Source organism: Homo sapiens, chromosome 7, assembly GCF_000001405.40.
Source record: "Homo sapiens chromosome 7, GRCh38.p14 Primary Assembly".
NCBI lineage: Eukaryota > Metazoa > Chordata > Mammalia > Primates > Hominidae > Homo > Homo sapiens.
Window position 1 is genome coordinate 76046437 of NC_000007.14, and position 22688 is coordinate 76069124.

At 51.4% G+C, this 22688-nt stretch overlaps 2 protein-coding genes across 16 annotated transcripts in view, besides 8 other annotated features; one reads left to right on the forward strand and one right to left on the reverse strand.

Moving 5' to 3' along the window:
* Window positions 1-1564, reverse strand: part of STYXL1 (serine/threonine/tyrosine interacting like 1) — a 51664-nt gene extending 50100 nt beyond the window's left edge. For 10 of the 12 annotated variants that reach the window (NR_134486.2, XM_011516293.4, XM_047420470.1 and 7 more), the window contains exon 1: window positions 1376-1564. The gene's annotated coding sequence lies outside the window, so the exon portion shown is untranslated. Of the gene's footprint in view, window positions 1-1225 lie in introns of all 12 variants that reach the window. The other 2 variants (NM_016086.3, NM_001317785.2) reach the window with 1 other exon arrangement.
* Window positions 1037-1819: an enhancer, noted in NCBI's record as "NANOG-H3K27ac-H3K4me1 hESC enhancer chr7:75676791-75677573 (GRCh37/hg19 assembly coordinates)". NCBI's record gives its function as "activates a minimal SCP1, AML or CMV promoter by ChIP-STARR-seq in naive H9 embryonic stem cells {active_cell/tissue: H9 hESC(naive)}" and the evidence as "EXISTENCE:reporter gene assay evidence [ECO:0000049][PMID:30033119]".
* Window positions 1265-1354: an enhancer, noted in NCBI's record as "active region_26189". NCBI's record gives its function as "activates an Ori minimal core promoter by ATAC-STARR-seq in GM12878 lymphoblastoid cells {active_cell/tissue: GM12878}" and the evidence as "EXISTENCE:reporter gene assay evidence [ECO:0000049][PMID:35858748]".
* Window positions 1465-1544: an enhancer, noted in NCBI's record as "active region_26190". NCBI's record gives its function as "activates an Ori minimal core promoter by ATAC-STARR-seq in GM12878 lymphoblastoid cells {active_cell/tissue: GM12878}" and the evidence as "EXISTENCE:reporter gene assay evidence [ECO:0000049][PMID:35858748]".
* On the forward strand, window positions 1670-21072 carry MDH2 (malate dehydrogenase 2). Of its 4 annotated transcripts, NM_005918.4 has the most exons (9): window positions 1670-1790; window positions 8394-8562; window positions 10974-11057; window positions 11533-11642; window positions 13937-14062; window positions 17079-17156; window positions 17903-18002; window positions 18366-18517; window positions 19843-21072. In NM_005918.4, the coding sequence occupies exons 1-9, from the start codon at window positions 1725-1727 to the stop codon at window positions 19972-19974; spliced, it is 1017 nt and encodes a 338-aa protein (NP_005909.2). In that variant the 5' UTR covers window positions 1670-1724; the 3' UTR covers window positions 19975-21072. The 4 variants fall into 4 exon arrangements, 3 of the variants coding, with proteins under 3 accessions (NP_005909.2, NP_001269332.1, NP_001269333.1); NM_001282403.2 differs by lacking the exon at window positions 13937-14062; NM_001282404.2 differs by lacking the exon at window positions 8394-8562.
* Window positions 1795-1954: a silencer, noted in NCBI's record as "silent region_18305". NCBI's record gives its function as "represses an Ori minimal core promoter by ATAC-STARR-seq in GM12878 lymphoblastoid cells {active_cell/tissue: GM12878}" and the evidence as "EXISTENCE:reporter gene assay evidence [ECO:0000049][PMID:35858748]".
* Window positions 1795-2601: a biological region, named in NCBI's record as "NANOG-H3K27ac-H3K4me1 hESC enhancer GRCh37_chr7:75677574-75678355".
* Window positions 1820-2601: an enhancer, noted in NCBI's record as "NANOG-H3K27ac-H3K4me1 hESC enhancer chr7:75677574-75678355 (GRCh37/hg19 assembly coordinates)". NCBI's record gives its function as "activates a minimal SCP1, AML or CMV promoter by ChIP-STARR-seq in naive H9 embryonic stem cells {active_cell/tissue: H9 hESC(naive)}" and the evidence as "EXISTENCE:reporter gene assay evidence [ECO:0000049][PMID:30033119]".
* Window positions 18863-18932: an enhancer, noted in NCBI's record as "active region_26191". NCBI's record gives its function as "activates an Ori minimal core promoter by ATAC-STARR-seq in GM12878 lymphoblastoid cells {active_cell/tissue: GM12878}" and the evidence as "EXISTENCE:reporter gene assay evidence [ECO:0000049][PMID:35858748]".
* Window positions 18963-19012: an enhancer, noted in NCBI's record as "active region_26192". NCBI's record gives its function as "activates an Ori minimal core promoter by ATAC-STARR-seq in GM12878 lymphoblastoid cells {active_cell/tissue: GM12878}" and the evidence as "EXISTENCE:reporter gene assay evidence [ECO:0000049][PMID:35858748]".

Below are 22688 nucleotides of genomic sequence, written 5' to 3' on the forward strand. Positions count from 1 at the left end.
CCTGGGTTCAAGGGATTCTCCTGCCTCAGCCTCCTGAGTAGCTGGGACTACAGGCACACGCCACCATGCCCAGCCAATTTTTGTATATTTAGTAGAGATGGGGTTTCGCCACATTAGCCAGTCTGGTCTCAAACTCCTGACCTCAGGTGATCTGCCCGCCTTGACCTCCCAAAGTGCTGGGATTACAGGCATAAGCCACCACACCCGGCTTTTTTTTTTTTTTTTTTTGAGACAGAGTCTTTCTCCGTCGCCCAAGCTGGAGTACAGTGGGGTTATCTCGGCTCACTGCAACCTCCCTCCACCTCCCGGGTTCAAGCGATTCTCCTGCCTCAGCCTCCGGAGTAGTTGGGGCTACAGGTGTACACCACCACGCTGGGCTAATTTTTGTATTTTTAGTAGAGATGGGGTTTCACCATGTTAGCCAGGCTGGTCATGAACTCCTGGCCTCAAGTGATCGGCCCGCCTCAGCCTCCCAGAGTGCTGGGATTACAGGCATGAGCCACCTTGCCTGGGGGTGTTGTTTAATTTTAAAAATATGTATCAGGCCGGGCGCGGTGGCTCACGCCTGTAATCTCAGCACTTTGGGAGGCCGAGGCGGGTGGATCACGAGGTCAGGAGTTCGAGACCAGCCTGACCAACGTGGTGAAACCCCGTCTCTACTAAAAAAAAAATACAAAAAATTAGCCAGGTGTAGTGGTGCGCTAATCCCAGCTACTCAGGAGAATGAGGCAGGAGAACCACTTGAACCTGACAGGCAGAGGTTGCAGTGAGCCAAGATCGCGCCACTGCACTCCAGCCTGGGCTAGAGAGACTCCGTCTCAAAAAAATAAATAAATTCATACATTTAAGTAATAAACTCATTGTGAGCAAGGAATTCTACTCGACTTTCTGTCTGCGTAAACTCTACAAATCCACTTGGCCTCAGCCACAGTGTCTTTATTCGTAAAGCAGAAACAGTGGGACCGTCAGAGCACTGCCGGGCAGGCGAGAGAAGACAGGAACTGTATGACCACGGAAGTTGTTGTCCCTACAACCTATTTGCTCATCTGGAACACAGAATAGTGGTCCTCTAAAGCTTGCAGGGCTGGAGGTCGCCATTATCAGCAGTGGTGTCACTAAACCTGAACCCAAGGGTCTCTGCAACTTGGGAAACGACGGCCCGGATCTGAGGAGATGGCCCCTTCCTCCCACCCCGCCTAAGGACTCTCAGCCTCCCTGACCCTACCTTTCCGGAGCTCAGAGTCCCCTCTGGCCTCCAAGGGCAGAAGGAATGGGTTTGGCTGAGGTCGGGGGCTCGGGTCTGGGACGCGCTCCACCTCCCCGGCTGCGCGACTATGGCCAGGCTCCCTGTCGGAGCCTCTGCCTGGGGCCCCACCTGGAAAAATGGCTCCTCTAAGGCGCTTCCAGCCTAAAGCCCGTCCTCTTCCACCTCTTGGGTGCAGACTGGCCCTCCCACTCCGACCGCAGGTCCCCCACCGGCCACACAGACGGCTACGCTAGAACCCAGCCAAACACCGGGGTTGCCAGGATGGTCCCACAGCTTTCCTTTCCGACTCCCGGAAGTGGCCGTGATCTCACGAGATCCCGGAGGCGAGCGCGACCGGAAGTCCGGTCACTCTCGCGAGGCCCCAGAGAGCAGGCGCTGGGCAGTGTGGAGGTCGTTGGAGTCACTTCCCCGTCACCAGCTCCTGTGCCTGCCAGTCGGTGCCCCTCCCGCTCCAGCCATGCTCTCCGCCCTCGCCCGGCCTGCCAGCGCTGCTCTCCGCCGCAGCTTCAGCACCTCGGCCCAGGTAGGCCAGACGAGGGGCGGCCTGCAGGCGGAGGCCCCCCGGCCCGGGCCACGTGCGTCCCCGGTTCGCGGGCAGCTCTGACCCTCTCCAGGCCAGCCTGGACCGCAGGGATGCCCGGCACTGGCTGGAGACTGTGGCGCCCGGGGCAGGCCCTGACACTGGCCTGGAGGTGCGGGGGAGAAAGCCGGGGAAAAGGGGGCGAGGTAGTCCCGCTCCAGGGCCGGTCCATTTGTCAGGGTTCCCCCAGGTCTCCCAGATTTCCCAGAGGACCTGCTCTTGGCTTGCACGCCTTCAAGGTTGGGAAACCAGGGCTCTGCATCTGAAAGTAAACTTACGTTTTTTTCTGCAGCGTTCCATTGCTTTGACGTAGCTAATCTCCTTGCAGCATCCGTGTGAGTTGTGCGTGAATAAAAGAAATCGTATACTTCCTAATTCCATAGTATGGACAAACCGAGGCTAGAGAACTGGGCCAGGGTTACAGTCATTTGGCCAGAGGATTAGAATTCAGCGCTTCTGACCTGAAGACGGCTTCCTCTTAACCTTTTTGGAGGATCTCTCCTGCTGTGGGCGGACTGAGCCTGCCGCCAGGTGTCTTAACAGTGCTTGACTTGGCCCGCGACCACTTAAGCCTAGGAGCCTAGGCTATTTTTAGCCATCTTCTAGAATGGTGGTTCTTAAACTCTGCAGTGTGTCAGAATCACCAGAAAGCTAATAAAAAACAGACGTCTGGGTTCATTGAAGAAGCTTAAGACTGCGGGGGGGGGGGGGGGGGTCCGCATTTTTACCAGGTGAATCTAATTAAACCTAATTTTGAGAACCCAGGAGGTGCTCGCATTGCCTTTTAATTACGACGCCCAAGAGGGAGGTAATTTTAAAGGGGAATCCAAATTTATCATCGAAGTTCTCGAGTTTCCTGTACATCCAGTTCATTTGAAAAATAAATACAAATGCTCCTGGATTGATGGCTACTTCCCATACCCATCGCAAGTTGGTAATATCCTAAGTCAAAAGGCGAGTTTAACTTTGTGTATTTTCAACTTGCAATGGGTTCCCACAGGCAACCCCATTGTAAGTTGAATGTACCAAATGCTTTTGCGCTGCGGTGAAGTGGGGGCCCAGCTGTATACAGATAAGTACATTAAGTACCTGTGCTTGCCAACAACTATGCTGGGTGCTGCAGGGGATACCAAGATAAGTGAGAAGTGACACTTGATATGGGACAGGAATGAGTAAACTTAGGACAGGTGGAAGCGATGAAGGTCTTAGGGAATGAGTAAACTTAGGACAGGTGGAGGCGATGAAGGTCTTAGGGAATGAGTAAACAGGACAGGAGGGATGAGGTGTGGGGGAGGGGCAGCCAACCAAAGAGAGGACAGGGGTGTCCAGGGAGAGGTTGAGTTTTGGTAGGACCTTCAGATATCCGACATATTTATTGAGCTAGGTACTGGAAATACAGCGGTGAACAAAACACAGAAGTCCCTGCTCTCACGGAAATTACTAGATATTTTACTTATTGCCCCACTCATTATAAAGTATCTTAAAATAGTGATGAACATGCAAGAAAAATGGGGATTGTAGGGTGCTTGTGTTAGGGAAGAGGGTACCAATTTTATTTACTTTTTTTGATGCAGTGCCTCGCCCTGTCGACAGGCTGGAGTGCAGTGGCGTGATCTCGGTTCACTGCAGCCTCCACCTCCCAGGTTGGAGCGATTCTCCTGCCTCAGCCTCCCGAATAGCTGGGACTACAGGCGCGCACCACCGTGCCCAGCTAATTTTTGTGTTTTTAGTAGAGATGGGGTTTCACCATGTTGGCCAGGATGGACCTGACAGAGTCCCACTCTGTTGCCCAGGATGGAGTGCAGTGGCGCCATCTTGGCTCACTGCAACCAACTCTTGGGCTCAAGCTATCCTCCTGCCTCATCCTCCCGAGTAGGTGGGAATCACAGGCAAGGGCTACGACAGCTGGGTAATTTTTGTAGTTTTAGTAGAGATGGGGTTTCACCATGTTGGCCAGGCTGGTCTCAAACTCCTGGCCTTAAGTGATCCACCCTCCTTGGCCTCCCAAAGTGCTGGGATTACAGGCGTGAGCCACCACTCCCAGCCGAGGGTAGCAGTTTTACATCAGCCAGGGTAGGCCTCACGCAGAGTGAGATGTTTGAGTAAAGTCTGAAGGAAGCAGAGATCACATCATATGGAAAGAGTATTGCAGGTAAGGGATATGTCTCAGGATGTAGCTGAGAGCCCTTGGAGAAGCATGGGGCATGCCTTGAAGGTTTGAGAAAATGAGGCTAGGGTAGTTCCAGAGAAGGCAGTGGAGGTAACAGAACAGGCCTTGTAAAACTTTGGTATTTTCTCAGAAATGGGGCGGCCAGTTGAGGGTTTTCAGCTGCGTAATGACTTGCTCTTCCTTCCATTTTAACAAGATGGTCTTAGGAGTGAGAGAAAGGTAGGTTAGGAGTTCATTGTGGTTATCTAGGTGCAGGTGGTAAGAAATGATTGAATTCTGGGTATTCATTGATGGTACCAGAAGGATTTGCTGATGTGTGATTAGATAAGGGGTCGGGGATGACACCAAGGTTTTGGGCCTTGGAGTTGGGCTGAAATAGGCAAGACTTATAGAAGAGAGTGGGTTTAACCAGGGAGAAGATATCAGGAGTTCAGTTTTTATTTATTTACTGAGAGTCTCGCTCTGTTGCCCAGGCTGGAGTACAGTGGCGTGATCTCGGCTCACTGCAGCCTCCGCCTCCTGGGTTCAAGTGGTTCTCTCACCTCAGCCTCCTGAGTAGCTGGGATTACAGGTGCTGCCACCACGCCCAACTAATTTTTTTTTGTATTTTCAGTAGAGATGGGGTTTCGCCATGTTGGCCAGGCTGGTCTCAAACTCCTGACCTCAGGTGATCCACCTGTCTTGGCCTCCCAAGGTACTGGGATTATAGACGTGAGCCACCACACCCGGCCAGGATCTCAGTTTTTCATATGTTCAATTTAAAATGCCTGTTGGGCATACAAGCGACATTGTTGAGAAGGCAGCTGATGAAAGCAGAAAGAAAGATGGGCTTGAGCCCATGGTGCAGTGGTCTCCAGACTTTGGATTTTTTTTTTTTTTTTTTTTGAGACGGAGTTCCGCTCTTGTTGCCCAGGCTGGAGTGCAATGGTGCGATCTCAGCTCACCGCAACCTCCGCCTCCCAGGTTCAAGCCATTCTCCTGCCTCAGCCTTCCGAGTAGCTGGGATTACAGGCATGCGCCACCATGCCTGGCTAATTTTGTATTTTTAGTAGAGACAGGGTTTCTCCATGTTGGTCAGGCTGGTCTCAAACTCCCGACCTCAGGTGATGCGCCCATCTCAGCCTCCCAAAGTGCTAGGATTAAACGCGTGAGCCACCACGCCTAGCTGGATCCTGTATCTTTAACAGTAAAAGCGTAGGAAGCACATAGCCCCAATGTATTTACTTATAGGTATATGTACTAATATATACATTACAATATAAACTCAAGTAGAAATTTTAAAACAAACCATAACACGTTATAAAGTGTTAAAACTTATAAATGAAGGCAGTGTTAACATATGTCGGTTTTCAACACAGTTGCCAAGCAGTGTGCTGTTGATAGCCACTCTGCCACCCAGCAAAGGTCAGCGGGTCTGGAAGACAGCTCTTTGACAAGGAGATCATGATCTAACCTCCGGGCCACCAAAGATTTTCATCTCATTGCAAAGCATGTAAAGATTATACTACTTAAGGATTGTGGTTTTGTAAAAATTAAGTTGGTGACATCCTGTAATATACAAACAGTGACATCACCTTGACAAAGTGAAAGCAAAGAAACCAGTGAGGCAGTCTTCTTCCCCTCCCTCCCCCATGTTGTGTTCACCTTATGTACACATGGGACCCATCCATTTAAGCACCCTAGCGAGGGCACAGGTCGGTCCATTTCTTGGTAGAGATTAATTCTTTGTTAGATAAAGATAGAGACAGTCTGGGCATGGTAGCTTACACCTATAATCCCAGCACTTGAGCTCAGAAGTTTGAGACCAGCCTGGGCAGTGTGGCAAAACCTCATTTCTACAAAATGAGTGGTGTGTACCTGTAGTCCCAGCTACAGCTAAGGTGGGGAGGATGGCTTGAACCGAAAATGCAGAGGTTGCAGTGAGCCAAGATCGCACCACTGCACTCCAGCCTGGGTGAGAGAGGGAGACCCTATCTCAAAAAAAAAAAAAAAAAAAAAGATACACTCATTGCAGCAGTTTCATCCTCCACCCTGGTGGGATTGTCTTGGCCACTCCCCTGTGGAACCACTGCCCTGGCTGAGTGATGGAGGCATGAAAGCTTTGGAAGATTTTTTTTTTTTTTTTTTTGAGATAGACTGTTGGTCTGTCACCCAGGCTGGAGTGCAGTGGTGTGATCTCCTCCTGGGTTCAAGCGATTCTCCTGTCTCAGCCTTCTGAGTAGCTAGGATTACCGGTGCGCGCCACCATGTCTGGCTAATTTTTTTTATTATTAGTAGAGATGGGGTTTTGCCATGTTGGCCAAGCTGGTCTCAAAGTCCTGACTTAAGGTGATCCACCTCGGCCTCTCAGAGTGCTGGGATTACAGGTGTGAGCCACCACGCCCAGCCCAGAAGATATTTTTTTAAAGAGATGGAATCTTGCTCTGTTTCCCAGGCTGGAATGCAATGGCGCCATCATGGCTCACGGCAGCCTCAACTCCTGGGCTCAAGTGATCCTCCCACCTCAGCCTTCTGAGTAGCTGGGACTACAGGTGCATACCACCATGCCAGCCTGAGCACGAGAGTGAAATGATTAAGACTTTGATTTTGGGAAAGCATGCTTTGGAGGTGTTGCTGAGTACCTAAGTTAGATAACGGAATAGAATGAAGAGGAGGAGCGGGTTGGGAGGGTGGTTGAGCTGCCAAGTTCTTCATGTCCTGACTTGATGTCTCTGATAAGAAGGAGGTGGCAGAAGATGGTTCTAGAAGTTTACATTTAGTGAACACAAGTGCCATTTGGGACCAGGGATGGAGGGAGGGGGGCAGGATAAATGGACAGTTGAGTTTGTGGAACCCATGGAACGCCTAACAGAACTGGGAATGCAGAGCTGGGATTTGGGAGTCCCTGAGACTCACACAAGATGTGGGAGTGAGAGCTGAAGATCCAGAAGTGGGTGAGGCTGAGCCTGCCCGACCTCAGGTTCTGAGCGGGTCTGACAGGTTCAAGTTTCCAGGCAGCCAGGGGTTCACCTTTAAAGCACCAACTTGAAACTCAAAAACCTGTTTGAATTCAAATGTTGGTTGTATATGCTTCCACAGTTTAATTTCCTGAGCAGAAACCCACTGGGTAAGCGTCTTGATTCGGATTTTGGTTTGTTGGGTTTTGGTTTCTGATAACCAAAGCCTGTTATTAGCTGGCCTCAGCTACTGTAGAAGACTGTGCAGTGATGCTGTCAGGCCCCAGATGACCACACACGGTGCCGAGAGTTCCCGTGTCTGCCACTTTGTTTGCCTCTTCCCTCACTGGTAGCTGCCTGCCTGCCTGCCTGCCAGGGATCGGCTGTGCTTCTCATTTGTGAGTTTAGATCAGAAACAAGCTCCCTGGGTATGGCTGTAATTTTGGTCAGACCTTGAGTGAGACCTAGAGGGGAAGAGTGCCTTCGAATAACGGGAGTGATTGCTGGATGCGGGGCCGGGTCACTTTCACCCCATCACTTTCCTAACTGTTCCAAGCTGAAATGCCCAGGGCCAGCTGCTACTTTGCTGCCTGTTCTTCTGATTAGCCTGGTATGAAACAGTGATTCTCAAACTGTTTGGTATCAAAATCATCTGGGGAAAATGGCAAAAATGCCAAGGCCTAAGCCCCATCCCGCTTCCAGGAGCCTAGTCCTGAGTGGGCTTCATTAGCTCAGCAGGTGGCTCTGATGCACACCTAGGCTGGAGAACCAGTGTGAGATACTGGAGCCCGAGATGACAGATCTGACTCACCAGGAGGGTTGGAGTCTTTCGCAACGTACGTAACCCCTTCCACCTCTTGTTAGGCAGCTCCTTGTCCTGCCTGAGGCTCCAGCCACAAGTTTGCTGCCTGGATGAATCTTCTCTGATTCCCCACCCCTGCAGGGAGTTGATTGCCGCAACCCCATCTGCCCTCTTGCACAAGGGGCTTCTGTGACAGTGTTCTCCCTGCTCCTAATGCATCTCATTACCTGTCTCCTACAGAGCCAGCAGGGATCTTCCTGCAACCTCAGTTACCGGGAGGGCCTGTTGCTAGGCACTCAGTGTGTGTTTATAGTTTATAAAGCTGCAGGTTGAAGGGAAGGCTGCTGTTACCAGTCCAGCTGCCTGATGGAGTCCAGCTTGTTCTTCATCTTTCAGGAGGGTTTTGAAGTACCCTGAGTATCACAGACTCTACAGACATAAATTCTCCCCATTTGAAAGTGGACCTTTGGAATGAAGGTCCTGAATTCTTCCAGAATGAGACTGTTACAAATACAATGATTGTATCTTGCTTTGGCAACTGCAGTAAAAAGAGGCCCAGTGCAACATTATAGGATACCATGTGAATCCTTTTCATGCTCATTTCCTCCTAAGAGTCCTTTCTCTGTGCCTCTTTTTAGAACAATGCTAAAGTAGCTGTGCTAGGGGCCTCTGGAGGCATCGGGCAGCCACTTTCACTTCTCCTGAAGAACAGCCCCTTGGTGAGCCGCCTGACCCTCTATGATATCGCGCACACACCCGGAGTGGCCGCAGATCTGAGCCACATCGAGACCAAAGCCGCTGTGAAAGGTACTGGGCGCGCTGACCCTGGAGACTTGCTTCCTGTCCCCAGTAGGCCAGGATTCGAGTTTTGAGTAAGATTCTTAGATGAAACTAAATGTTTAGAGACGGGGGTTTCTCTGTTTTAAATTTAAATTTTACAAGTGATTACACCCTTTTAGACTTGGCGTCTATAAAAATTGAAACAGCGGTGTCTTTTAGAAATGTGAGGTAGCCTAATCATCCCATTTTCTACTTTTTCTAATTTGAAAAGTAGTATGAGGATGGGGAAGAGGGAAGTGTCAGCAACCTCTGGTGAGGATTTGGGGACAGTAAGGTGGTGGTCTCAGCTGCGGGCCACCTTCCCTCCACCCCAGGGTTATCTTGCCAGCTTCTCAAAAAGCACGGCCTCTTTGGGAAACCTCCCCGTCTGTGGAAGGCAGTGTCGGATATTCAGTAAATGTTGTCTGGAAAATGATTCACTGGACTTAGTGCAGTGGCTTATACCTGTAATCCCAGCACTTTGGGAGGCCAAGTCAGGAGGATTGCTTGAGTCCAGGAGTTCAAGACCAGCCCAGGCAACATGGCGAGACCCCTATCTCAACAAAAAGTCCAAAAATTAGCTGGGCGTGATAGTGCACACCTGTGGTCCCAGCTACTTGGGAGGCTGAGGTGGGAGGATTACTTGAGCTCAGGAGGTTGAGGCTACAGTGAGCCCTGATTACACCACTGCACTTCAGCCTAGGTGAGATAGTGAGACACTGTTTCCAAAAAAAAAAAAAAAAATTTCATAAATATGCATATTTATATATGCTGCTTATTTAACCTTCACAATGTATCAACATTTTTGCATGTCACCAAATTTTTTTTTTTTTTTTGAGACCATGTCTTCCTCTGTGTCCCAGATGGAATACAGTGGCACAATCTTGGCTTACTGCAACCTCCCCATCTTGGGTTCAAGTGATTCTCCTGCCTCAACCTCCCGAGTAGCTGGGACCACAGGTGTGCAACACCATGCCCAGCTAATTTTTGTGTTTTTAGTAGAGATGGGGTTTCACCATGTTGGCCAGGCTGGTCTAGAACTCCTGACCTCAAATGATCCACCTACCTCGGCCTCCCAAAGTGCTGGGATTACAGGCATGAGCAACTGCGCCCAGCCCGAATTCTTGATAAAATTATTCTTAAAGCTGTAATTTATCATTTATGATAGCTCTGCTGTTGACCATTGGCTGTTTCCTGTTTGCTTCTGTAAATATAAATATATTAATGTAAGTTGCAGTACGTATCTTTATCTTTACATCTTGTTGAAGTCTTAGAGTTCTAAACACAGAATTAGTAGGTATGAATATTTCAAAGCTTTTACTATAAAGTTCCAAATTGCTGTCCAGAAAGATTCTACTGATTTCTTTCCCCTCTGACAGCGTATGCGATACCGTGTCTGATGGTGTTTACATGAGTCTTAAGTTGGTGTGAACAGCTGGGGAGGCTGCCTGGCAAATTTTATGTTCGTGCACCTTCCAGAGTTCTCTGAATGGGTTGCCCATTTTCTTTTGGGCTGTATATTCGGGTTAAGAAGGCTCCTGCATTAAGGAAAAAGTCAAGATCGAAGCAGATTTTGGATATTGTAGCAAATTTCCCTGAAATCTTTGAAAACATACTTTTTCCTTCAGATGATAGGAGTAAACGAAATAGTAATATTTAGAGTCTTTCAGCACAGGACGTTTTCTTTCCTGGCCTTCAGTGCCTTCTGATCAAGGAGTTTGGGCTGGCACAGTGGGTCACTCCTGTAATCCCAGTACTTTGGGAGGCCAAGGTGGGTGGATCACTTGAGTTCAAGAGTTCAAAACCAGCCTTGCCAACCTGGTGAAACCCCTTCTCTACTAAAAATACAAAAATTAGCCAAATGTGGTGGACCATGCCTGTAATCCCAGCTACTGAGGAGGCTGAAACAGGAGAATCACATGAAGCCGGGAGGTGGAGGTTGCAGTGAGCCAAGATCACACCACTGCACTCCAGCCTGGGTGACAGAGCAAGACTCCCTCTCAAAAAAAAAAAAAAGGAGTTTTCATCAGGATTGTGGTGATGGGGAATGAGCAGCTCCTCTCATTCTAACTGGAGGCCAAGTGTGACTTACAATGCTCACGAGTAGGATGAAGACAAGCAGTGGCTCAGTTCGCTTTTGTGGAAACCTGGAGGGCTGACCCATTCTAGCTGGGGCCTGGGCAAGGAGAGGCTGGGGAAAGCAGGGTAGAAGGGGAGGGTTCCTGCCACGGGAATTGTCAGCTCGCAGGGCAGTAGTCGTCAACAGAAGGAAGTCACGTTACAGGCAGGGCTTCTAGCCTTTCTCGAGGCCATTAGTTGGCCTTAAGGCCAGGGCTGAACTTTCCAGGCCTCTCTGAATCAGAAACGGTGACATTTCTCTTGTGGGGTGTTTGTTCTAGGCTACCTCGGACCTGAACAGCTGCCTGACTGCCTGAAAGGTTGTGATGTGGTAGTTATTCCGGCTGGAGTCCCCAGAAAGCCAGGTTTGTGTTTGAAAGCCTTGTCTGGTACCTCCCCACGTGAAGATGTGGGGATTAAATCCATTTCCTATTAAAAATGGATTTAATCTGGTTGCTTTGTTGTAGGAAAAATGTCACCAGCTCCCCTTTCCTGTGGGGTAAAGGTCACATCTCTTTGTTGGCCTGGGATCAAAGTCGTCTTGCCGTTCCCCTGTGCCTCTGTGCACGGACGCCCTTCCCTCTTCTCAGTCCCACTCTACCTTGGGGGTTCTTAATAAACCTCGACGGTCCTTCTCAGATGTTGTCCTCCCCTGCTCCACCCATGCAGACCTCGCTTCTGGCACTCATCATGCTGGATCATTTACCCTGCAAGAGGGACTGACTTGAAACGGGGACCTTGAGTGGCTAAATTTCCTGTAACAGCTGGCGCTCAGCACATGCTGCCTGTCTGGAAATTTGTGGTGTTCTCTGTTAACATCTCATATTGGATCATTTCCAGGCATGACCCGGGACGACCTGTTCAACACCAATGCCACGATTGTGGCCACCCTGACCGCTGCCTGTGCCCAGCACTGCCCGGAAGCCATGATCTGCGTCATTGCCAATCCGGTGAGTGTGGCAGCACCCGGCTCTTGCAGCTATGGCAGGTGTTTAGGTGCTGACAGTGCGTGAAAAGCTCACGGTTTGCAGCAAAGGCTGCTGATGTGCTGGGGGGATGGGGGGATACACAGATGAAGGGGCTGAAATGGAGAGGTCGGGTGCACTAAGCAGAGGCCCGTCCGTGCACTTCCTAAGGACTCCTTCCAGCATGAACTGAATGAGGGTTGTCACAGCCAGCCTTGTGCTGTGGGCAGACCACGTCTCTCTCTGCTTTAGTTTCCCCACCTGAAGAGAAGTCCATTCTCAAGGCTCCTTTCAGCCGTGATTGTGGTGGTCTCTTGATTCCCTTTTTGACACAGTAGCTCCTACTTAGCCGGAAAAGTATGTTCCAAGAGCCCAGTAGGTGCCTGAACCCTGAACCCTGTATATACCATGTGTATACTGAACCCTGTATATACCATGTGTTTTCCTAGGCATGCACACCTGTGATAAGTTAATGCATAAACTAGGCACAGTAAGAGATTAACAACAACAACTCATAGTAAAACAATCACAACAAGATACTATAATAAAAGTTATTTCTTTCCCTTTAGTCAGGAACTTCCACCTTCTCGCTTAAGGGAAGTACTTAATGGCTTCTCTGGTTTCTGTTTCTCCAAATTGCCAGCATCACTACTCTTGCGCTTTGGGGCCATTGTAAAGTAAAATAAGGCAACTGGAACACAAGCATCATGATCCCTCAACAGCTGATCTGATAACCAAAATGGCTCCTAAGTGACTCAGGCAGGTGGTGTAGACGCATGGGTATGCTGGGCAAAGGGTTGACCCCTGTCCTGGGCGGGATGGAGCCAGAGTTCATCCTGCTACTCAGGATGGCATGCAGTTTTTTTGTTTGTTTGTTTTTGGCTCTGTCGCCCAGGCCAGTGTGCAGTGGTGCGACCTTGGCTTACTGCAGCCTCTGCCTCCCAGGTTCAAGCGATTCTTCTGCCTCAGCCTCCTGAGTAGCTGGGATTACAGGTGCATGCCACTATGCCCAGCTAATTTTTGTACTTTTAGTAGAGACAGGATTTCGCCATGTTGGTGAGGCTGGTCTCAAACAACCAACCTCAGGTGATCCTCCCGCCTCACTCTCCCAGAGTGCTGGGATTACAGGCATGAGCCACTGCGCCCAGCCAGTTTAAAACCCATGAATTCTTTATTTCTGAAATCTTCCGTGTAATAATTTCAGACCTCAACTGACTGCTGGTAATTAACACAGCAGAAAGTGAAACCATGGATAAGGTGGGACTATCTGCATTCTACTCAGGATTTCCATTCCTGGTCCCCTGTTGTCCCCATTTCCTCATTCACACACAGTCGCGGACACACACACAGCCACCCCAGGCCCCACTCACTGGTTTTTGCAGGTAGCTGCTTACTCTCGGAAACGTTGAGTGCTGCGTCCTCACTGAGAGGGCGGCCATGGTTCCCCAGCTTGACCTGCAGGGCCTTGTGCTCATTTAACAGCAGCCACCTCACTGCTCCTTCCTGGCGGAGCCTGGGTCCTGGTGTCTGAGGATGAGGATCAATTGGGGTGAAGGGGCAGGGACCATGATGTCACTGAGAGGCATGGATGCCAGCAGGCATGCAGAGCTCGTGCTCCTGGCCTCTAAGGGTCCTGCGTTCCCCAGAAGCTCCTCAGGGTGGTGGGTCACAAATAGAGAGCTGCTATTCCCTTTGTTGGGGAGCTAACCAGTGCCTAATAGAAACCTGGCCATTCTGTCATCTTCTGGCGTCCCGGGTGACGTGTTCAGCACTCGCCGTGTGTGAAGTCATTTAGTATTTATGACTTCATGAGGTTGTCGTTTCCCCCACTTACAGAAGAAAAAAACGGGTCCCAGGGAGTTAGGGTGACCTGCCCAGGGTCATAGCACAGAGGGACTGAGCTGCCAGTGGACCTGCTTCCTTGGAGCACACAGCCGCTGTGCACTGCTGTCCCATCAGGAGTGGCCCTGCAGCTGTGAGTCCCGGCCGAGCAGAAGGTGATCCATGGAGGCATCATCACACATTTCAGTTGATAGCTGAAGGGCCACCAAGGGAAGAAGCATCCTCTACAGCAAAGGGTTTCTTTGTTCACATGGTGCGGCCTGTCCTTTCTGGCAGGTGGCTTGCCAGTACAGAGTTATCAGACAGGGCAGTTTAATGTGGCATCTTTGGACTAGTTAGACCTTTGGGAAGGTCTGACAAAAAGCCCTTTTCCTGCTGTGGCTTGGCCCTGCTCTCGGAACCCAGGGCAAGCCATGCCTGTCTGTTGGATGTCCTAGGTTAATTCCACCATCCCCATCACAGCAGAAGTTTTCAAGAAGCATGGAGTGTACAACCCCAACAAAATCTTCGGCGTGACGACCCTGGACATCGTCAGAGCCAACACCTTTGTTGCAGAGCTGAAGGTAAGGGCGGCGTGGGTGTTGCTCAGGTGACCTTTCTGAACTTCTCCCGCCACCCGTGCTCATTTACGGGCGTGGAAGACATGAAGGCATGCCCAGGTCACGTGTCACTTTGGGGTTTTAAATGTTTTTAGAGCTCGCCCTCTTGATGGAAGCAGCCCCTGTGTTTCCTGTGGGTTCCAGGCACTCGGCCCAACAGGCATCTACTCTGGCCAGTGTCTGTCTCCCGGCTCTCGCTGTCTTCCTTCTCGCCAAGAGCACTGTGGGTTCACACCTTCTTTGGGCTTCTCAGTGGCTGGACTTGGACGGGGCTCCCCCAGTCCTCCCCTTTCTCCTTGCCCCTGAAAACTGGTCCTGGGAGGATTTACCTGTTGGCCACTAGATAAAGGGTGGGAAAATTAGCAAACATGAAGAACTGAGGAAAGTGCCAGAAGTCCTGAGGTATCAGAATTGTTGTTGGCCCTGGTCCCTGGCACTGACTTTTTTGGGTTGCCCGTGGTAGCTCACCCTGGAGAGTCCAGGCCTGGCCAGGTGCCTGACCCTAGGGCCGCTGGACGGAGACTGAGCTGCTGGGTGTGGCTTGAGCTCGGCTTGGTTTGGTGCCAGTGCCGGGCCTGGAGTCCTTAGTGCTTTGCACAGCCTGCTTTCGACTTGCTTCCATTGTGGAGCCAGCAGAACCACTTCCTTTGGCCCCAAAAAGTATTTCTCTTGAGCTTCAGGCCTTTTTGTTCTGATGGCAGATTGGAGGTTATACGTGCGGCATGGTAGGAAGTGCACCCGCAGCACCCTTGGCCTCCGTTTTACTCCCGAGTGACAGGCACATCTGCTTCTGAGGAGTTAGAGATGCCCCACTGTAACAGACATGGCAGCACGTACCCGAGGGCCTGGTAGTGGGACTCTGTTACAGGTGTGGGGGTCACAGAGTTTCAAAAGGCATGGCCCCAGGCCTTAGAGTTCCATGGAATGGGAGAGACACTTGAATCGAAGAGACAGTTTAAGCCTGGCACAGTGGCTCACGGCTGTCATCCCAGCACTTTGGGAGGCTGAGGTGGGATGGTTGCTTGAACCCAGGAGTTCAAGACTGCAATGAGCTGTGATTGCGCCACTGCGCTCCAGCCTGCGTGACAGAGCAAGACCCTGTCTCTTTAAAAAAAAAAAAAAAACAGTTTGAGTGAGCAGGTGAGCGCAGGTGTATGTCCAGAGGCCCCCGGGATTGCCGCAGTACGGAAGTGGACACAACAGGCAGGATCCCACCTCCCACCTCCAGAGGCGCAGCCCCTGGCGTCCTGGAGGCAACAGAGTTCATTCTCGTGGGCTCTCAGGGCTGGGCACACCCCAGGCCCTAGTCCTGCCCTGCACCATAGCTGCCACTAGCTACATTTGGCTATTTATGGTTAAATAACATTAAAACTATATCCCTCTGCCACACAAACCACATTTAAGATGCTCCATGGCCACATATGGCTCCTCTGTCCTCACAGAAAGTCCTGTTAGGCAGTCCTATCTCAGCCTTGAAGCTTCACTGTTAGAGTTGGGGACAGGGTACCTTGGCCCTTGGGAGATCCCGTCCCCCACCTCCAACAGTGAAGTGGACTGTCATTACCCCTGGCTGCCTGACATTCTGGAAATTTCCTGGATCATATCAAGAATGCATATCAATCCTTAAACTTCCGATGGCTGGTTCCTCCCTCATCCTCTCACCCACCATATTCCCTTTCAACGTGGCTCCAGGACCTCCCAGGCCAATGCCTTGTTCCCGTTTGCTGCAAAGTCGCCTTGTCCCCCGTCTTAGCATGCACCATTGGAACATACATTTCTAGGAGTCTTGTATTTGAGGGCAAGCCTCTGGAAAGCAGGGCTGTGTCCCTTCAGCCCCACGTCCCTGGTGACCGTGCAGTGCCCGCACGTGTGTGCTTATACACCACCAAGCTAAGCCTCTCGGATCTTTGGCTCCCGGCTCCATGAAGCTGATCCTACTTTTCCCGTGCGTGAGGCTGATCCTCCCTCTCCCAGACCAGGCTCATTTTCCAACCTAGGACTGGGCTCTTCAGTGGCCATGGCCATCGGGGCAGGTGGCTGTTCCCTCGCTACCATTACTCCCACCAGGTTATTGTCCGTTTTAAGAAATACTTGGTTCAGCCGGGCGCAGTGGTGCATGCCTGGAATCCCAGCACTTTGGGAAGCCAACGCAGGAGGATGGCTTGAGCCCGGGAGTTCAGGACCAGCCTGGGCAACATGGCAACACCCCATCTGTACAAAACATTTAAAAAACATAGATTGGGTGTGGAGGTGTTTGGTACTTGGGAGGCTGAGGTGGGAGGATCATTGAGTCCAGGAGGCAGAGGTTGCAGCCATCCAAGATTGTGCCACTACACTCCAGCCTGGGGGATAGAGACCCTGTCTCAAAAAATAAAACAAAAACCTGGTTCACAGATTCTTGGGGGTGTGGTACCTCCAGTTTAAGAAATGAGGCAGCCTTGAACTGTGCTGTTTGGAGCCATAGGAGTCAGTTTGTTCTTTCTGTCCCAATCACTGTTTGAGGTGGCAGACTTCTAACTCATGGGTATCCTGGAATGGATTTGAATTTTGTTCTGTGGGGCCTGAAGAAAAGGGAACTTGGATTGTTCTGTGTAGGGAGGAGTCTGGGCTTGTGCATGGGGAGTGGAGCCGGCTCTGGGAAAGAGGATGCCAGGCCCGGGGGGGGCCTCCACAGGAGGCAGCATCCTCCCATGCCCATCCACAGTGGGCACAAATGCTCACTATGAAGGAAGGACTTGCGATGGCCTCGCCAGACGGCGGCAAGCCCTCACGGCACCTGCTGGCGCTCATGCTCAGCCTTTTGGGGCACCGTGGCAGGAGATCCAAGCGCAGCAGGGGCTGGACAGGGCCTCCTCCTAGCTGGCTCTGTTCCACCCTGAGTTCTGGGGGGCTTTTCCAGTGTTGGGGCTGTGGGCAGCTGTGACATGTTTTACAGTGAAAGAGCTTGTTAACTCATCCAGCTTCATACTTTGGTCACCAGGGTTTGGATCCAGCTCGAGTCAACGTCCCTGTCATTGGTGGCCATGCTGGGAAGACCATCATCCCCCTGATCTCTCAGGTACACGCATATGACCCTGTGAGGGGCTTCGAGGTCAGGATTCCCTTTACCAGGCCCTGCTTTGAGGTGATCCCGGTAGACTGGAGAAGGCCTGGCCACGTGCCAGGTTTTGGAAGGGCTCCTGTTGTAGGCAGCCCCGCCCCTCTGCTGCAGGGCGGTGTCAGTCCTGGAGCGAATGTGGGTGGAAGCTGCTCAGGGCCCAGCTCCAGCACGCAAGGAGAACCACTGTTGGGAACCTCACCGGGTTACTGGTTAGGCCGGAGCGGGCGAGGTGCTTTTTTCAAAAATGAGTCCAGGGCTGGACACAGTGGCTCATACCTGTAATCCCAGCATTTGGGAGGCCAAAGCGGGAGGATTGCTTGAGCCTGGGAGGTTGAGGCTGCAGCGAGCTATGATGCACCACTGAAGCCTGGGCGACAGAGCCAGACCCTGGCCTCAAAAAACAAATGAGTAGGGGACTCACCACACTTCCCAACAGAGTTGATTTCACTTCGTCTTTTTTTTTTTTATCTTTTTATTATTATTTTTTTGCTGCTCCTTGTGGAGCAGGGCTACCCCATAGGCAGTGTGCCCAGAATAGCATGTCATTTTTCTATAAAGGTTTTCTTTTTCTTCTTTATAGAAAACCTTTCCCATGCCCTGGTGATGGGAGGGAGAGGAGAGGTCGGGAATAGTGGGGGTGGGAGGCAGTGGGTCTGGGGTCATGGGCCGGAAGCCACTCACTGATCCCATGGCTTGGCTTGCAGTGCACCCCCAAGGTGGACTTTCCCCAGGACCAGCTGACAGCACTCACTGGGCGGATCCAGGAGGCCGGCACGGAGGTGGTCAAGGCTAAAGCCGGAGCAGGTAGAGTCTCAGGCAGCCCCGGGGCTGGGTGCCAGTGAGGCCCTGCGAGAGCTCAGGGTTGGGGAGAAATGCTGCTTGTCCCTGGGCATGGACGATCCTTTTCAGTGTTGATTTGCAGTTGCCTGGTGGAAAATCCCTGTGTGAGAGGGCAGCTCGGCCTGCTTTGTGGGGTTGAGAGTCATTTTTGAGGGTGGCAGAGTCAATTCTACACCATTCATGTATAAGTAACAAGAAATCGGGGTGCTGACTGAAATTCTCCACTGTCAGGCTGGAAGGTGTGCAGGTGTCTTGGCTGGCGGGGCCGGCTCACCTGGGCGTCACGTTTGTGGCACCAGCCAGGCTGACCTGTCTGTGCCCCCCTAGGCTCTGCCACCCTCTCCATGGCGTATGCCGGCGCCCGCTTTGTCTTCTCCCTTGTGGATGCAATGAATGGAAAGGAAGGTGTTGTGGAATGTTCCTTCGTTAAGTCACAGGAAACGGAATGTACCTACTTCTCCACACCGCTGCTGCTTGGGGTACGTATCCAGGCGTGGGTCCTTCTGACTGTGGAATAAGGGGGCGTTCCCTTTGCTTAAGCCTCAGGAGCTCTCCCTGGCCCTTTATGCAGTAAGCTCATGTGCCTGCCTGGCGAGTGCTGTTGTTTTCAAGGGTGGACGCACACCCGAGAAAAAAGAGCTGGGAGGATCACAGACTGTGAAGGGTGAACCTCCCAGCAAGTGGGTCTCCTTCCCTGCAGTTTGACAGCGGGTGCCCAGCAGCTGCAGGAGTATTGACTGATAAGACACTCCATCTCCAGGCAGCCCAGGGAGGCCTCCCTACCCCGCCTGAACACCTCCCTGTCGCTCCTTGTTCATCTTGTTCTGACTGCGGGGGGCGGCCAGGCCCAATTCCTCTTCGAGAGTGTGCCCCATCCAGACAGCCTGAGTCTTCAGCAAACAGAAACCCTTAGGTCTTACTCATACCCCCTCAAGCCGAGTTTCCATTTCTCACCTGTGGGCAGAAATGAGGCAGATGTGTGGTTGCCTTCATCACGTGGCCAGAAAGTAATATGGCTCACTGGGCCACCCCAGGACCTTTCTCAGAGATGCTCCGATACAGAAAGATCCTTCAGCTATGGCCCCAGGCCTTGGTGAGAGACAGGCACTCGATGGTATAGTTCTGTCCCCATGTCGGTGCAGGTGTATGGAATGGCAGGGCCTGCAGGTGAGACGCACCCGGTTCTCATAGGCCCTTGAGCCAGGGGAAGCAGTAGGAGGGAATTGAGTTGAGGTGAGGACTGAGGCTGTTGCCACACAAACTGTGCTCAGTTTCTGCAGGTGAGACGGTGGCAGAGATGCCTGTTTTTGCCAATGTCAGACATTTACCTACTTAGTGACACCTGATTCAGGTGACTGTGACAATGTTTTCAGTCCTTTACCAACCTGCGGGGAGAGACAAGAACCCAGAAACAGGCTCTGTTGGGGAGAATACGGTGAAGTGTTCCTGATGATTGAGTTCCTGGCGTCCAGGTGCTTGTCGCATTGTCCTCGTGTTCACGAAGGTGGATGGTGCTTGTTTTATAGCTAAGGAAACACATTTGGAAGGTCAGTCATTGTCCAGGGTACCTGCCTAGACAATCACAGTGCTGGGACCCCTGCCTGGCACCCTCTGGCTCTGAGCCTCGCACTCCTGACCGCAGCTCAGTCCCACCCACCTGCTCAGCAAGGCGTCCCCAGCAAGGCACCCAGAACCCGCATGTGTAGAGAGACTCCTCGGCAGGGCTGATGGAGCGACAGGTCGGGGTTTCTCTAACAAGCACTTTCCTGGAAACTTCATTTTAACATGTTCCCATCTCCCTCAGAAAAAGGGCATCGAGAAGAACCTGGGCATCGGCAAAGTCTCCTCTTTTGAGGAGAAGATGATCTCGGATGCCATCCCCGAGCTGAAGGCCTCCATCAAGAAGGGGGAAGATTTCGTGAAGACCCTGAAGTGAGCCGCTGTGACGGGTGGCCAGTTTCCTTAATTTATGAAGGCATCATGTCACTGCAAAGCCGTTGCAGATAAACTTTGTATTTTAATTTGCTTTGGTGATGATTACTGTATTGACATCATCATGCCTTCCAAATTGTGGGTGGCTCTGTGGGCGCATCAATAAAAGCCGTCCTTGATTTTATTTTTCAAGGTCCCTTCTGTAAATGCTGTGCTTTCTTCCCTGTGAGAGCCAACTTTAGAGTGTCTGCTACCTCTTCATTACCAATCAGAATTAGATGATGTTTAACTGTTAGACTGAAGCGTGACGCTTTCATCAGTAGCTTCAAGAAAGTCTAAATTGTTAATTTATGGAATTGGACACAGTATTCAGTTTACCCGTACATGCTCCTCCCGCCCCTCCTGTTGGCACCCTTGCATCGCCCAGGCCTGATTCCTCCTGGGGGTAGTTCACCCCCACGGGTTCATAGTTCAGCGGCGAATGCCAGGCAGCTGTTTTCTGGCTGAGCAAACAGCACCTTTCTCATTGAGCTTCCTCTACTGACCTCTGTCCCCCTTGGGATTTCATCTTCTGACCGAACCCTGATGTTCAGTGGCAGAGACAGCCCATAGCCAGAACTGTGGGTAGACCAGGGTTGGGGTGTGCGGTTTGGGACAGCCCAAACCCCAGCCGCTGTGTCAAGGCCTAGGACGCCATGCTGCCATCAAAAGGGGGTTCCAGGTTTCCATCAGTGGCCTAAAGAAGGGACTTCTTGTTGTACTGAGGAGTGCGGAATTAAAGAGATTTGACTCCCTTTAGTATTGGGGGCAGTCCGTTCCCCAGACACTGTGGCCTCTGAAGTGGAAACTGAAAGCTGCATACCTGGGAAAGAACTTTCTAGGAATAGGCAATGGCCTTCAGTGGAAGAGGGAGGGCTGGAGGTGTGCCCAGTACTTGGATGTTCATCTGTCCACAACAGCTTTTTGTTTTTTTAAAAAAGCTAAAATGGAAATGGATTTTATCATAAAGGATGACATCGTTTTCTTCTACAATTAATACATGTTCATTGTATAAAACCCAAAAAGCAGCTAAAAAATAAAGCGGGAAAGGAACTACTGGTAATACTTGTCCTCTCTTGCATATTTCATAGGTTGAGAGAATGAAGCCTGCTCTGCAGGTTATCTGCTACTGTAACAATCCCAGCCCTCTCCACTCTGGTGGCTTTTAGGCTATTTCTGTTCCTATCTCCCGACGCTGGGGGTTGACAGGACTCAGCTGGGTGGTTACATGCCCACAGCTCCCACTGCAGTCACTGGAGGCTTGGCTGGACTGGAGCACGCGAGGCTGGTGTTTGGGAGATGCCCGGACAGCTGGCCTTTTCCCCGAGGTCTTGGGCCTCTCATTCTTCACAACGCATCTACAGCAAGGTCCATATGTTTGTTGAATGACTCAGTTCCCACAAGCAAAAGCAGAAGCTGCCAGGCTCTAAGGCTTGGGCTGAGAACTGGCCCAGCTTCGCTTGCGCTGCATTCTCTAGGTTAGAGTAAGTTACAAGGCCCCCAATGACATGGGCAGGAACCACACAAGGGTGTGGCTGCGGGAGACCTGACTCTGATGGCCATTTATGGAGATGAGCTGCCCCCCACTTCTTTCACTGTGTGTATTTGCCCTTGTCACTTTTCTAAATTTTTCTTTAGAGACAGGGTCTCTGTCGCACAGGCTGGAGTGCAGTGGTGTGATCATGGCTCACTGCAGCCTCCAACCCCTGGGCTCAAGCGATCCTCCCACCTCAGCCTCCCCAGTAGCTGGGACTATGGGTGCCTGCCACCACGCCCGGCTAATTTTATAATTTTTTGTAGAGACCGGGGTGGGGGTGACCGGGCGCGGTGGCTCACGCCTGTAATCCCAGCACTTTGGGAGGCCGAGGCAGGCAGATCACGAGGTCAGGAGATCGAGACCATCCTGGCTAACACGGTGAAACCCCTTCTCTACTAAAAATACAAAAAATTAGCTGGGCGTGGTGGCGGGTGCCTATAGTCCCACCTCCTCAGGAGGCTGAGGCAGGAGAATGGCATGAACCTGGGGGGCGAAGCTTGCAGTGAGCCAAGATTGCACCACTGCACTCCAGCCTGGGCGACAGAGCCAGACTCCGTCTCAAAAAAAAAAAAAAAAACAAGATATCAGGGTGGGAGGACTTGCTCTGTTGCCCAGGCTGGTCCTCCTGGCCTCAATCAATCCTCCCACCTCGGCCTCCCAAAGTGTTGGGATTACACGCATGAGCCACTGTGCCCTGCCATTCTTTTCACAGCTGGATAACCTTGAGGGTGGATAATTCGGTGTTTTTGTTTTTCACTGCTGTAGAGAGCAGAACTCTGAGCGTGGTACTTTAGCATTGTTTCCTCCTGGTGGTTCTATATGCAGAGCACTATGCTGGCTGTATTTGGGGTACATTTGCCATTTTATGGGATCCTTGCAACAACCCTGACAGGACCTGGGACTCAAGCTAAGTCAGGTTGTGTCTTGGTTGAGGGTGGTCACTACCTCTCTCCATAAACCAGGGGCTACCCCTTAAGAACCTCCCAGAGAGTTCACTCAGGATACTCCCACTAAGGTGGGAGGACTGCTTGAGCCCAGGAGCTTGAGGTTGCTGTGAGCTGTGACTGTGCCACTACACTCCAGCCTGGGAGACAGAGAGAGACCTGTCCCAAAAAAAAAAAAAAAAAAAAAAAAAAGCGCAT